The sequence below is a fragment of the Homo sapiens genome, chromosome 15 (genome assembly GCF_000001405.40).
Source record: "Homo sapiens chromosome 15, GRCh38.p14 Primary Assembly".
Taxonomy (NCBI): Eukaryota; Metazoa; Chordata; class Mammalia; order Primates; family Hominidae; genus Homo; species Homo sapiens.
Window position 1 is genome coordinate 63789295 of NC_000015.10, and position 16420 is coordinate 63805714.

At 39.0% G+C, this 16420-nt stretch overlaps 1 protein-coding gene across 41 annotated transcripts in view, besides 1 other annotated feature; it reads right to left on the reverse strand.

Moving 5' to 3' along the window:
* The window catches only part of HERC1 (HECT and RLD domain containing E3 ubiquitin protein ligase family member 1), a 225331-nt gene that overhangs the window by 180677 nt on the left and 28234 nt on the right, over positions 1 to 16420 (reverse strand). The gene's annotated exons all lie outside the window — the stretch shown is intronic.
* Positions 12715 to 12904: a silencer, noted in NCBI's record as "silent region_6522". NCBI's record gives its function as "represses an Ori minimal core promoter by ATAC-STARR-seq in GM12878 lymphoblastoid cells {active_cell/tissue: GM12878}" and the evidence as "EXISTENCE:reporter gene assay evidence [ECO:0000049][PMID:35858748]".

The following is a 16420-nucleotide window of genomic DNA, read 5'->3' on the forward strand; positions in this document are numbered from 1 at the left end:
TTAGCCGGGATGGTCTCGATCTCCTGACCTCGTGATCCGCCCGCCTCGGCCTCCCAAAGTGCTGGGATTACAGGCGTGAGCCACCGCGCCCGGCCAAAAGGTTTTTTTAAATGATTTAAAATTATATATCACAAAACAAAACCATTAGCAGTATTGACTCTAGAGTCAAGTAGAATATAAGAGTGCCCACTTGTCACCACTATTATCAATAATGAAACTGAGGTCCGGCATGGTGGCTTACGCCTGTGATCCCCGCACTTCGGAAAGCCGAGGCAGGCAGATCACCCAAGGTCAGGAGTTCGAGACCAGCCTGGCCAACATGGTGAAACCCCATCTCGACTAAAAATACAAAAATTAGCTAGGCGTTGTGGCGGGCACCTGTAATCCCAGGTATTTGGAAGGCTGAGGCAGGAGAATCACCTGAACCCGGGAGGTGGAAGTTGCAGTGAGCCGAGATGATGCCACCCAGGTCTCTCCAGCCTGGGCGACCAAGCGAGCCCTGTCTCAAAATAAATAAATAAATAAATAAATAAATAAATAAATGTATTATATATTCTAGACATTTTTATTATTTACATGATACTGAATACCTCAAAAACCCATCAGAAGAATCCAGCTAAATACTAGAAAGAAGATGAAGATCACACAAACAATATTAGAGGAATCAAACTATGTAAGTTAAAAGGAAAACCCCAAAAAGTCTGTCAGAACAGCTAGGTTTGAATCTAGGCTATACCATTTACTAGCTGACTGGGGCAAGTTGCTTAATTTCCCCATGGCTCAATTTCCTTATCTGTAATATAATGGATAATAAAAGAACCTCTATCATTGCCATGAGGGCTACATGATATAACACATATAAAGTTCTTGGACTCATCTCCTGGAACTCAGTACATACTCAATAAACGTAAGCTGCTATTATGATCATTATCATTTTATTATTGCTATCTCTACCACCAATATTGGTTGTAGAAATGGAGATGTATGTAAAAGTACTTTTTAGGCTAGGCGCGGTGGCTCATGCCTGTAATCCCAGCACTTTAGGAGGCCGAGGCGGGCGGATCACGAGGTCAGGAGATCGAGACCAACCTGGCTAACACAGTGAAACCCCGTCTCTACCAAAATACAAAAAATTAGCCGGGGGTAGTGGCGGGCGCCTTGTAGTCCCAGCTACTTGGGAAGCTGAGGCAGGAGAATGGCATGAACCAGGGAGGCGGAGCTTGCAGTGAGCCGAGATCGCACCACTGCACTCCAGCCTGGGCGACACAGCAAGACTCCGTCTCAAAAAAAAATTTTTTTTTTAAAAAGTACTTTTTAAATACTAGAATAATAGACACCCAAACTCAGGATAGTGATTGCCCAGGGGGTTGGTGGGTATCAAACAGGACATCAACTTTGTGTGTTATGTTTCCCTTTCTTTAAGTTTAAAAATGACTGCATAAACACTTGTTAAATGCTGGCAGAAGAAACACAGTAGGGTTTTCTTTTTTTTTTTTTTAATTCTCTGTACTTCTCTTCAGTCTTAAATTTTTCTCAAGGAAAGGAAAAACAAAAAAAGTTTGTATGACCATATTGTTTTCAATTGTAATATAATCAAAAGTTATAATCCCTATCCTATTATTCTTTTAATTTGGGTATATAAAAACTGAAAGATATCTTTATAGAAGGCTTGTTTTTACGAACATCATTTTAACAACAAAAAATCCTAAAAAAGTTTTTCAAAGGGTTGACTGTATCTATCACGCTTCTAACTAAAACACAGAAAGTTTGGAAAATAAATAATAAAGTAGGTTTAATGGGTTTGTCCTTTCCTCGGACATACAGAAATTTGCAGTTTGGGGATAAATACCTGAGAGATGACATATCTATCAACCTTCTCCCCCAGACACTCTGAGATAGTTTTACTTAATAACTTCTCATTGTGTGTATGTACAGATTATTGGAATATTTGCATTGTTGCTGGTTGAGCATCTCTGATCTGAAAATCCAAAATCTGAAATGTTCCAATGAGCATCTCCTTGGTATATTATGCTGGGACTCAAAAATTTTCAGATTTATATGTATATATGTACGTATACATATATTACAAATACGAGCTCTGTGTATATTCTGAAGATGCCTTGTACAAACAGAAAGATGAATCATCAATGCAGCAAGATTTGCCAAACATAAGGGATGATCTTTTTCAAAACAAGATCAGCAGAGGGAAGTTCAAAGAACAAAATAGAACATCCAACTAGTAACATTTCCAATAAAACTTTTAGTTACTGGATAAATTCTGCCTAGTTCTTTCTTTAACACATTATGTTGTGGCAAATGAAAGTAAAAAACAATTCTTCGAGGGAGTTCAAATTGCAAATCCAGGTTCCTTCAGTTCTAAAACACTTAAAATCAATTCGATGTCTAAATGTTTTAAGCTGTAAGCCCATTCACACCAACTATAATCAGCAGTCCCTCTCTCAATGTGAAAATTTAGAATGAATTTTTTCCTTACTAAGAATAAAGAAGTTGATATTTCTTCAAATATTTTATAAAAGCAAGTTTTCAAACCATTTATTTCAAAGCTAAATAATTATCTGTTGGCAGTAACATCTCCTATATTGATGCCCCACACAACTGTTCAAAAACAAAATCACTGATTTAATCAACTGCTTTCCAGTGTAATTCTTGTTATCAGCAACTGTCTGAGTTGGGGGCAAAGTGTAATAATTGATAACTGATTTAATTTTTCATTTTTCCAAAAATTCCAATAAAGTACATAGTAGGTTCACTGATTGATAGCTTTATATTCAATTGACCAATATTCTCCAACCTTAATGTCTTAAACCAGTTTCTAATCTCCTACCTTAGCTACAAAGAGACCAGTGCAATTCAATAAATATTAGATGGTATCAGGAAATTAAAGTTCTAATACCCAAGAAATGATCTTGGGCAAGAACACATACCCTCTTCTCCAGGCCTCATCTAAAAAATAAGGGATTTGAATAAAATAATCTCCGAAGTCCTTTCCACTTCTAAAATAATATGAAAATGAAACCCAAATGTTCAACACACAAAATTGGTTCTTACTACATTCTATCCACCTCTGGAAGGAATACAAAAAGAATATAAATAACTTCTAGTGCAGAAGATATTACTGACTTTTCAAAACCCTTTCCAGATACAACCCTATCAGCAAAGCAGAATGAACGTGTGCTTCCAGGAGTTTGGAGTATCCCCAACTAATTCCCTTTTAAGCAAGAAATTACTTTAAACTCCTACAATTTTGGCATTTTTCTTCATAATATATGGTGTGGTTTTAATGTAAAATAATATTTAGTATTACCTTCTTGGATGATATAGAACGAAAGAACTCAGTTTCTTCCTATTAGACTCTCACAACACAGAACACTTCTGTGACCAAATGTGTGGGAGATTTTCTCCACACGCCAAGCAAGCAATCTTGCAGCAGACGCTAGCTGGGTGTCTTCTAAGTCAATTCAGTTATGACACTACTTACCAGGAGACAGCAACAGATCTCACAGGTTGAGGGCTCAGTCCTAGAAAACTGTCTCCCACTTCTGATTCCAATCGCAAGCCCCAGGTTGTTTTATCTGTGCTTCTGACCAACTAGCTATAAAGCAGGGTTCCCACACCGCACTCCTGGGGTTTGATTACTTTCTAGAGCAGTTCACAGAACTCAGGGAAACACTTATACTTACATTTATGGGTTTATAATAAAGGCTATTACAAAGGGTATCAATGAACACCAGATGAAGAGGATAGGGCAGGATATGGGGCAAGGGGCCCAGGGCTTTCACGCCCTCTCTGGGGATGCCACCCTCCAGGAACTGCCAGAGGCGTCTGAACCAGAGCAACTCCATCTTGAGTAGGGACTGTGTAAAATAAGGCTGAGACCTACCAGGCTGAATTCCCAGGAGGTTAGGCATTCTAAATCACAGGATGAGACAGGAGGTCGGCACAAGACACAGGTCGTAAAGACCACGCTGATAAAACTGGTTGCAGTAAAGAAGCTGGCCCAAACCCACCAAAACCAAGATGGCCACGAAAGTGGCCTCTGGTAGTCCATACTGCTCATTATACACTAATTATAATGCATTAGTATGCTAAAACACACTCCCAACAGTGCCATGATAGTTTACAAATGCCCTAGCAATGTCAGAAAGTTACCCTATATGGTCTAAAAGGGGGAGGAACCCTCAGTTTCGGGAATTGCCCACCCCTCTCCCAGAAAACTCATGAATAATTCACCCCTTGTTTAGTATATAATCAAGAAATAACTATAACTATCCTTAGTGGAGCAGCCCTTGCTGCTGCTCTGCCTATGGAGCAGACATTCTTTATTCCTTTACTTTCTTAATAAACTCACTTTCACTTTACTCTGTGGACTCGCCCTGAATTCTTTCTTGCGCAAGATCCAAGAACCCTCTCTTGGGGTCTGGATAGGGACCCCTTTCCAGTACAGAACCTCTATGGGTTCAGCTATCTGGAAGTTCCCTGTGTTAGAGATGTGTGAACCAAAGCAACTCCACCTTGAGTAGGAGCTGGGTAAAATGAGGCTGAGACCTACTGGGCTGCATTCCCAGACGGTTAAGGCATTCTAAGCCACAGGATGAGATAGGAGGTCAGCACAAAATACAGGTCATAAAGACCTTCTAATAAAACAGGTTACAGTAAAGGAGCTGGCTAAAACTCACCAAAACTGCGATGGCCATGAGAGTGACCTCTGGTTGTCCTCACTGCTACACTCCCATCAGCGCCATGACAGTTTACAAATCCCATGGCACTGTCAGGAAGTCACCCTATATGGTCTAAAAAGGGGAGGCATGAATAATCCACCCCTTGTTTAGCATATCATCAACATATAACCATAAAAATGAGCAACCAGCAGCCCTTGGGGCTGTTCTGTCTATGGAGTAGCCATTCTTTCATTCCTTTACTTTCTTAATAAACTTGCTTTCACTTTACTCTATAGACTCGCCCTGAATTCTTTCTTGCGTGAGATCCAAGAACCCTCTCCTGGGGTCTGGATCAGAACCCCTTTCCTGTAACACCTGAACCCAGTCTTTTTGTGGTTCTATGGAAGCTTCATTACTAGCTATTACTGGTTGAATCACTGAGTGATCAACTCAATCTTTGGCCCTTCTTTCCTCCCCTTCCCAGAGGTTGGGGATGGGGCTGAAAGTACTAACCCTCTAATCATGGCTCAGTCTTTCCAGTGACCAGCCCCAATCCTGAAGCTAACCAGAGGTGACCAGGCATCAGCAAATTCATTAGCACACAAAAAGACACAGATCACTTTGGAGATTCCAAAGATTTTAGGAGTTATATTCCAGGAGACATGAGGAAGACCAAATATATATTTTACAATATCTCACCTACCACCCATTACAACTGGGACTCTAGCAGGAGATGCCACTCTTTCATCTTAGAACAGCTAAGATCCCTACTTTCCCACTCCCCATACCCAGCAGTTTAAGAAAAACACGTAAAGGGTTCAGTGGCTCACACCTAAAATCCCAGCACTTTGGGAGGCCGAGGTGGGCGGATCACCTGAGGTCAGGAGTTCAAGTCCATCCTAGCCAAAATGGCAAAATTCTATCTCTACTAAAAATACAAAAATTAGCCAGGCGTGGTGGTGTGTACCTGTAGTCCCAGCTACTCAGGCTGCTGAGGCAGGAGAATTGTTTGAACCTGGGAGGCGGGGGTTGCAGTTAGCCAAGATTGTGCCACTGCATTCCAGCCCGGGCAACAGAGCAAGACTCTGTCTCAAAAAAAAAAAAAAAAAAAAAAGTAAAGGAATAATCATCCTTTTTCCTACTTGAACATTTAAATGACATACAAATTATATCATTTTTAAATGTATCAATACAGTTTTAAAGCACAAGTTTCTGCTTTAAAGATCTTAAAATTCTGAGGAAGGAAAAACTGGGTCAATTGTCTTAGTTACTAAAGCTTGCCTTTTTCAATGGTTTTATTAAAATATTCTGCTTGCATTTATCATTTTGGAAAAAGAAGTTCAAAGTAGATAAAGAGTAGTGATAATTTTAAAATAAAATAACCAATAAAAACAGATTTCAGAAATGTGTATGAGAGATGTTGATAGCACCTAAGATTGCAGAAGTAGAGATAAAATTGAGAGGAAAAAATATCAGTTTAATATAAGAAAATTAACATTTAATTGGAATTTTAAGTGGCTTGATTTTATTTTCAATCAAATAGAAAAGCTCTGATACAAAAGGTTCCTATTTTGAATTACTCTGAAGATATTTCATGTTTGCCCATTTGAACCAGCAGTATGTTTGAAATGCTTGTTCCCTGGTGCCACAAAGAAATAGCACTTGAACATAAATTTAATTTACTCAGCAAGGCCATTTTTATACTTTCTGCAGAAAGGGTATACTCGCCAGCAGTTCTGCCACGAGAGTACACCGAACAAAAGAGACAGGGTCATTTATAATCTCACGCGTCCACCCTACTGCTGTGTCCAGTTTCCACTGGCTGGAACGGGACCTGACATTCTGTATTTGTCCCGACTGGCTAGCAACTCAGAACTTTTTAAAAGAGGCAAAGGCAGAGGAGAATCAAGGAAGCAGGAAGTTAACTTGTGGAATGCTGAGAAAGGTAAAAATACCTTTAAATAAGGAAGAGGAACAGGCTACGACCTAATGCTTGCTTGAACCAGTATAAGCATGCCAGGGCAAATATTTAGGCTAAATTGTGGGAGCTAAGAACATAAAGTACATTGATTTCTTTATCACAGCTAGCAGATTTTTAAGAATGTTAGCACAGGTCTTTAAATAAATTTTGCTTCTAAGAGAAGTTACTATTTATTCCTAGTTAAATAGGGAGGAAAATCTTTGAAGAGGAACCTTTATTTTTTACAAGTAGAATAAATTAATTATATTTTTTAAACTAAATTTAGTCCACTACTAAAGGGTATCATCCCTTAAGTCCATATGCCAACATATTTTCCAACAGTTACATCTTCTGCAACTTTTAATAAGTTTCTATTTCATTTAATATGTGGATAAGGGTACTACTGAAATGTGACTAAATTCAGTAGTTTCTAATGTAAATTCTAAATTAAAACTTAAACTCACAAAACTGAAACCATCTTTGCAAAATTATGACAGTAAGAGAAATTTGACACAGTTAAGTCCATTTCGCTTCTAACCTCCATCATCGATCATTCCGGGGTGTAGACTGTAAACCAAAAATAGCTGAGTTAGGTCTCAATCAATTTAGAAAGTTTATTTTGCCAAGGTTAAGGACATGCCTGTGATACAGACTCAGGAGGTCCTGATGACATGTACCCAAGGTGGTCAGGGACAGCTTGATTTTATACATTTTAGGGAGACATGGGATATCAATCAATACTTGTAAAATGTCCATTGATTCAGTCCAGAAAGGCTGGACAACTTGAAGCAGAAGCTTTCAGGTCATAGATACATTGAAAGGTTTTCAGATTGGCAATTGGTTGAAAGAATTATTATCTAAAGAAAGAAATGTCTGTGTTACAATAAAGGGTTATGGAGACCAAGGTTTTATCATGCAGATGAGGCCTCCAGGTAACAGGCTTCAGAGAACAGATTGTAAATGTTTCTTATCAGACTTAAAGAGTCTTGTTCTATCAGTAATTCCAAAAGAGAGGAGGGTATTATGAGGCATATCTGGCTCCCCCTTTCCATCATGGCCGGAACTAGTTTATCAGGTTAACTTTGGAATGCTTGCTGAGAGGAGGGGGCCATTCAGATGGTTAGAGAGCTTAGAATTTTATTTTTAGTTTACAAGACCAAGCTGATTTTCAGAGAAATTTATAGTTTGACCTTAAAGCAAGGATGATAATAACCTTTCCCAAAACTAAACCACCTTCATAAAACTAATGAAAGGCCACAAGGTTAGGATTATGAGAGGGGCCTGAATTCTGCTAAGGTGTAGGCATAGTTTCTATCATCCCTTACTGCTCAGGAGTCATATGGCTAGAGGTCACAAGACAAGTATAGCTTCTTCTATCATTCCTTACTGTTCAGGAGTCATGTGGCCAAGGGTCACAATATTTGTCACTTCCTCAATTACTCTTATAGAGAAAATCATTATAATAGAATCTAAGATTGGTTTTTTTGTGTTATCTTTCAGAATGACCCCACCTGGACTCCTGCCTCAAGACTTAACATCCTGTGGCCCTATGCAGAGGCAGACTCATCACACCAGGACTGTTTTTCACACTCCAATCATTTTTTTTTCCCTGACCAATCAACATTCCCCATTCCCTAGTCCCCCACCCATCAAACTATCCTTGAAAACCCTAAACTCCAAGCCTTTGGGGAAATACATCAATTTGAATAATAACTCTGTCTCATGCATGGCATGGCCAGCCTCCTGTCAATTAAACTCTTCCTTTACTGCAATGTAGTGGTCTCTGTTAATTGATTTTGTCTGCGCAGCAGGCAGGGAAAACCTGTCAGGAGATTACAAAATGTTTACTGTATACCTATGAGATTTCAGAACTTCAACTGAATTATCACAAAAATCCGTAAGATAGTTATTAATAACATAAAACAATTTTCAAAAAATTAAACAGTACAACAAGATTACATGCAAGGTGAATGGCAGAGTCAGGATGTGAATATAAGTCCCCAGATTCTGAAGTCCAGTGCTATTTTCACTGCCCCATAATATCACTCCCTGGAAAAATTAACTCTAAATGTTGAGTGGATGTGAATGAGAATCAAGTGTTAGAACTTGTCAAAACACACATGTCCAAGTCCCCAGCCCCACCCAACCTCACTAAAGCACTTATTTTAGAGAAGTGTGACACTACCACCTGCTACTTCTCCCTTCAACCCCAGAATCAGTGCTTTAGGATAAAATTTAACTGAAAATTCTCTCCTTGCTGTAGCTTCCTTATTCAGCTCCCTGATAGCAGGTTCTCCCCAGTTCTAGTGTATCCTCCATCTTTCTACAAACCAAAATCTGATGTTACTCCCTTAGTGAAAACCCCAAATGACTACTCAGTGCTTAACCAGTTAAAGACTAATTACTTTTAACCAACAACTGCCTCTTTACAATCAGGAATTAAAGTGTTTTCCAGGTAATTTTCTTCTACCCTCTCCCACCTACGTAACAGACACTTAAGAAAATCTTACAAGTTCTTAAAACCACCAAGTCATTCCAAGCCTTCAAACCACTGCTTCTATCCTCTTCTCCTTCACTTACTAAAGTCCTTCCTCTTCATATCTTCAAACTTTACAAAAAAAAAAAAAAAACCTTACAGGGCTTTTCAGAACTTGAAAACTAGTGCTTTCTAATTCTCTAACAGGATACCTCTCACTTTGACCTACAATTATTTAGGATTGTCACTCCCCTAACAGATAATGCACTCACTCCTCACTGTGAGGAATGGATTCCACCTTATTTTAATTCTCTGCCATACAACCTAGACCATCATAGTGTTTGTTAAATTAACTAATTAATTACTACTAGTTTCTACATTTAAATATTTTTGGCTACCAAAATGGTAACTCATAGGTATATTAAGGTCAGTTTTTTATACGCCCTAAGCATTTAGTGGTTGCATACTATTTCTTACTTCAGTGGATTTATAAATAAGATATTTTACCATCAGGTTTGGGGGTGTCCCAATTCCAAACTCAAAGCAAAAAGGGCACAAATAATTTCTTTTTTAAAAAAGAAGTTGACTTTTTTAAAGCGTCATCTCTGGGCTTACTTTTTAAGATACGTTTCAGAACTAGGTCATACTTGCACATTTAATTTTCAGACAAGTTAACTTCAAATCAGTCAATGACACGGAGTTGTTCAACAAAATTATAAACTCTGTAGCTTAGCAGAGACACCCTCTTCTGCCTATCTCTTTCCTCAGTTCAGTTCTGATACTTAAGGCTTTAACAAAAAGTAGCTATTGGCCAGGCACAGTGGCTCACGTCTGTAATCACAGCATTTTGGGAAGCTGAGGTAGAAGGATCAGTTGAGCCCAGGAGTTTGAGACCAGCCTGGGAAATATGGCAAAACCCTGTCTCTCCAAAAATTAAAAAATTAGCCAGGCATGGTGGCTTGCACTTGTAGTCCCAGCTACTCAGGAGGCTAAGGTGGGAGGATCACTTGAGCCCAGGAGGTCAAGGCTGCCGTGAGCTATGATCGTGCCACTGCACTCTAGCCTGGGTGATAGAGCAAGACTCTGCCTCTAAAAAAAAAAAAATAGAAAAAGAAAAAGAAAAATATTGATCCTTTCTGCCAGTATCCAAAGGAGGCAATGATCTACAAAACCCCTGGAAGAAAATTATGATCTCCATGGGTAGTAGTGGAGATCAGTTATTAAGGGACTAGGCTTTGAAAGCAAAGAAAAATATAGAATTTGAGGAAAAGACAGAAGATGGAAAATGATAGGACAATAAAATGCCAAAAAATAATGGCAAACACTTAACAAGGATAGCTGCAAGCAAAACTAAAATTGCAGAGAACCCAGAAAGGAGTCAGAGAAATTCTCTAAGCAGGTTTCAGGAGCCATTCCTAAATCAGACTCAAGGTACTCTAAAACATGGCCAGGTGCAGTGGCTACCATCCATAATCCCAGCATTTTGGGAGGATCACTTGAGGCTAGGAGTTTGAGACCAGCCTGAGCCTGCGCAACAGTGTGAGACTCCATCTTTACAGAAAAAAATATTTTTAGTTAGCCAGATGTGGTGGTATATGCCTGTAGTCCTAGCTACTGGGGAGGCTGAGGCAGGAGGATCCCTTGAGCCACAGGAGGTCAAGGCTACAGTGAGCTGTGATCATGCCACTGCACTTCAGCCTGGGTGACAGTGAGACCTAGTCTCTTAAGAAAAAAAGAAGAAGAAAGAAACTGGGGTATGGGGAAATATTCTCTCCACTAATGCATTTGTTAATATTTTTCTGTAATAAAAAGTTAATGAAGTCTGTTTCAAAGGGGAAGAGTTTAAAATTTTTCTGAAGAATAGGTTTACTCTAAAGAACAAAATCTCTCCTCTGACAAGAAGGCCAAGAACTGACCTCTCCCCTTGCTCTCTCTTCTATAGACGCCTGAGATCCTTAACTCCTGGAAGGCACTATGCTCCTTTGTATTTCAGGAACTTTGCACAGGCAGTTCTCTTTATTTAGAGCCTGCCTTCTCCATTCCATCCTCTTTCACCCAGTTAATGTTTAGTCACAAGATATCAGTTTAAACAGTACAGTACCAGAGATATTAATTAGGTACTCAGTAACAGTATCACTAGCTGAATTAAATGTCACTTCCTCTGGGAAGGTATCCCTGACTATACCCATGTGAGATTAGGTCTCTCCCAAAATGTTCACACAGCATCCAGTACTTTACCTTCATAGCACCTTGCATGGTTTGCAATTATATATAATTTGTGCGATTTGTTTAATGTCCATTTGTGGCATAAGAAATACATACTTGGTGTTCGTAATTTCCTTTGTGATAGGGGAATAGGAGCATCTTTTGTTATTCGTAACAAGCCCCTTTCAACCATACCTGAGTTTATGCTAATGAGGTGACTCTTAGTGGGCCCTTAGATAGCTTCAGGATGAAGGCTGGTTGCCAGAGAAACCAACCAAGTGATAAAAGTGTTGGAACTTTCAGTTCCACCACCAGACCTCAAGGGAGAGGAAAAGGGGTGGAGATAGAGTTAATCACCAATGGTCAACGATTTAATCAACCAAGCCTACGTAATGCAGCTTCCATAAAAACCCCTAGACAGGGTTCAGAAAGCTTTCAGGTTGGTGAACACATCAAGATGCTGGGAGGGTGGCATGTCAGGAAAAGGCATAGAAACTCCATGCCCCTACCCCCTGTATCTTGCCCTATGCATCTCTCCCATTTGGTTATTCCTGAGTTGTATCATTTATAATAAACCAGTCATTGTAAATAGGATATTTCCCGTGTTCTGTGAGCCATTCTAGCAAATTACTCAAAGGTGAGGGGGTAGTTGTAGGAACTCCCCCGTTTGTAGGCAATTCAGAAGTGTGGGACTCAATACATGCAACTGGCATCTGAAGTATGAGTAGTCTTGTGGGACTGAGCCCTTAAACCTGTGTAGTCTGATGCTAACTCTGGATAGTGTCAGAATGGAAATGAACTGCAGGGACAGCCCGTTGGTATCTGGAAAGTTGAAGAACTGATTGGTGTACGCAAAAAACTCACACACTTGTTGTCAGAAGTGCTGTGAGTAAAAACAGCAAAGACAATCTTTCACATTAGTCTATAAAGACTATCAGAGCAGAGGCAGTATCGATTTTGCTTATATCCCTAGTGTTTATTAGCATAGGTAAAGCACATAGAGGGAGCTCAATAAATATTTCCTGAATTAAGCTAAGCAATCTGAATCCAGGTAGTCCATTATGCATATTGAATATAATTTAATCTCACATATTATCTTACTCTGAACTGACCTAATGTGAGCAAGTGCAAGTGTGGTGGTACCACAGTGGATATATCCTAGGGATTCTATCTGCAGTCCACTTCAGTCTCCTCCTCTTCATGTACATACATTTTTGGATCCCAGCAACTCCCAAGGCTTTTACCTATCTCATATGCTAATGAATCCAGTCAAAACTTCTCCTGAGCTCCAGACCTGGACATCCACTGCCAGCATGATATACCCACTCAGATGTACCAAAGGAATCTCTAACACATCATGTTTAAAACTGAACTCTCGACGTCTACCAACCCATGTCTCCCCCAATACACAGTACTTAGAGAATCATAAGAGAAAGTGTCAATAAAGACTTCTCAAGGGCATTTCTGAAAGTGCAGGAGGAAGAGCCCATTTGCAAAGTTCTATAACTGAAACTTAAATGTACACTGTGGTCCAGGTCTCCCCACTCCTGCCACATGTACTTCTAGAAGGCTTCATTCAGCTGAATGATTGATGTTGGTACTCTTATTCATTAAACCACACAAATTATCAATGGTTAGCTGTGCAAAATTGAACTCCTGCTAAAAAAGAAAAAACTTTTTCGTTGTTATTATTGCTATTTAAGAAAGTACACTTAGAAAAGGAAAAGATTTGCTGAGTTTGCTGGCAAATTGTTTTTGCTACATCAATAATGAGAACTAGTCAAATAAACCTGGAAACAGACGTGCCTATTCGGTGAGTAAAGAACTACAGACAAAATCAAATCAAACTAATGGGTTTTCACTTGCATTCTAGAACCACCAGTTCACAATCCTGATCAACCAGCTAAATATTGGCAAAGGAAAAACTGCAGTTTTGTTTTGTTTATTAATTTAAGGTAAAAATTTATAACACTAAAAGCCAATTGTTTTTTTTCCACTCCTGGTACAATGCACAAATCCAAACTGACATACATACATAAATTACCAAAGATTCACCAATGAAAAGAAAGGTTAGAAAACTACCAAGGAACTGGAAAAAAACCAATCAGCACTACAACTATCTTTCTAAAACTGAAATAAACGAGTTACTGCAAGTAAGTTTAAGTTCCTATAAGTGAGTTTATCAAATTCTGAAGCTTTTAGCATTCTCTAGGTGAACAAAGCAATAATAGCAGTTACAATTCACTGAAGCACTTTCTATGTGGCAGAAAATACATGTATTATTTACTCTTCAGAGCAACTCTATAAAATAGGGGCTGCGTGTGGTGGCTCATGCCTATAATCCCAACACTTCGGGAGGCCAAGGTGGGAGGCTCACTTGAGCCCAGGAGTTTGAGACTAGCCTGGGTGACATAATGAGACCCCATCTCTACAAAAAATAATTTGGCAGGCATAGTGGTGCACCCCTATAGTCTCAGCAACTTGGGAGGCTGAGATGGGAGGATCGCTTAAGCCTACGAGGCTGCAGTGAGCCATAATTGTGCCCCTGGGCAACAAAGTGAGCAACCCTGTCTCAAAAAATAAAATAAAATTTAAATTTAAAAAACTAATAAAAAGAAAAAAGTACTTGTATTATCCCCATTTTCCAGGAAGGGAAGTGGAGGTACAGAGAGGCTAAATAGCCCAAGGTCACAACTGCCAGTAATTGATAGAGTAAGGATTCAAACCAGACTAGTCTGCCAGGTGACCCCTTAACCACTAAATCATGCTGCTTCTTATCAACATCGTGGTGTATATCATGCTCTTTTTTTCTCTCTTTTTTTTTTGACACAGGGTCTGGTTCTGATGCCCAGGCTGGAGTGGCAGCGACACAATCATAATTCACTGAAGCCTTGAACTGCTGGGCTCAAGCTATCCTCCCACCTCTGCCTCCTAAAGTGCTAGGATTATAGGCGTGAGCCAACACGCCCAGCCCCATACTAACTTTTTAGAAATTAAAACCTCAGAAGGTTTTAATGAACCAATTGCCAATTCAGTTCCTTCTTAAAAGTCTTGTTGCTATGATAAAATACATTCCTCCTAACCACTCTTTCAAGATTATTAAATGATCTCAATTGGGTAACAAAAGAAGCAAAACACTTTTCACAGTCTCAGAAACTTGCAAGGCAGGAAGGCAATGGACTGAGAATAGCAAAACAATTCTAACTGATAGAGAAAACATTAAAGATGTACATTATCTGACTTTTAAGCTTATTATTAATATAAAACTAGTAACTAGTAATCAAGACGTGGTAGTGGCAACAAGATAGTGGTACTTTCATCAAGATAGATCAACAGAACAGAACTGAGGGTACAGAAATAGACCCACATATATATGGCCAACTGATGCTTATCTAAAGTGTCAAGGCAGTTTAATAGGAAAAGGATAATCTTTTCAACAAAAGGTGCTGGACCAACTGAATATGCAAACAGGAAAAATAAACCTTGACCCTAATTTCATACCATATACAAAAATCAACTCAAAATGATTCACAGACCGAAACGTAAGAGCTAAAACTAAAAAGTCTCTAGAAGAAAACATAGGAGAAAATCTTAGCAATCCTGGGTAAGATTTCTTAAATAGCACACAATAAATTGATAAGCTAGACCTGATCTAAATTAAAAACTTTTGTCCTTCAAAAAGTATTGCTAGCCGGGCACAGTGGCTCACGCCTGTAATCCCAGCACTTTGGGAGGCTGAGGCTGGTGGATCACCTGAGGTCAGGAGTTCAAAACCAGCCTGGCCAACATGGTGAAACCCGTCTCTACTAAAAATACAAAAAATTAGCCGGGCATGGTGGCGGGCGCCTGTCATTCCAGCTACTTGGGAGGCTGAGGCAGGAGAATCACTTGAACCCAGGAGGTGGAAGTTGCAGTGAGCCGAGATCGTACCATTGCACTCCAGCCTGGGCAACAAGAGCAAAACTGTCTCAAAAAAAAAAACAACACTGTTAAGAAAATGAAAAGACTTAGATATGATGAACACATACATAAATAAGAAAATGAAAAGGCAAGCCCCAAGATGAAAGAAACTATTTTGTAAAACATATCCAATGAGACGTGTATCAAGAATATATAAAAAGAACCCTTACAACTCAATAAGAAAACTCAATTTTTAAAATGAGCAAAATATCTGGACACTTCACCAAAGATACATAAACAGCCAAAAAAGCGCATGAAAGGATGTTCAACACCATTAGTCAGTAGGGAAATGGAAATTGAAACCACAACAAGATACTATTACAAATTCAATAAATGGCTCAATTTAAAGACACAGATAATACTAGGTATTGGTGAGGATGTCACCACCAGTGTGTAGAACTCTCATACACTGCTGGTAGAAATGTGACATGGGAAACTGCTTGGCAGTTTATCATAAACACACGCTGTACTTAGCACATATGCAACAATTCTACTCCTTAGGTATTTGCCCAGAAAAATGAGAATACATGATTACATAAAGACCTGGTCATCAGTATTTATAGCGTCTTTATTCATAATAGCCAAAAACTGGAAACTCGACTGTCCATCATCTGATGAATGAATAGGTACATCATAATATATGCATACAATGGCATACTACTCAGTAATAAAAAGGAATGAACGACTGATTCAAACAACACAATGGTTATTCATTACAAGCAAAATGAATAATAAGCATTATTATTCATTATTTGGAGATTCAACATGGATGAATCTCAAAAGCATTATGCTAAGCGAAATAAGCCAGACACAAAGACTACATAACTATGGTTCTAGCTGCATGAAATTCTAGAGTAAAAACCACGGTGATAAAAAGCACATCAGTTGTTGCTAATGGCTAAGGAACAGGTGGAGAAGATTACAGCCAAGACATAAAAGGGAACTTTCTGGGTATGATGAAAAGAGACTATATGATGATTGTGGTGGTAGTTACATAACTGTATTAACATTTATCAAACTGTTGTCTTAAAATGGTGAATTTATGGTATGTTAATTATACCTCATCAAAGCTGACCAAAAACAAACAAAAGGTCAGACACTATGGCTGAGGCCTACAATCCCAGCACTTTTGGAGGCTGA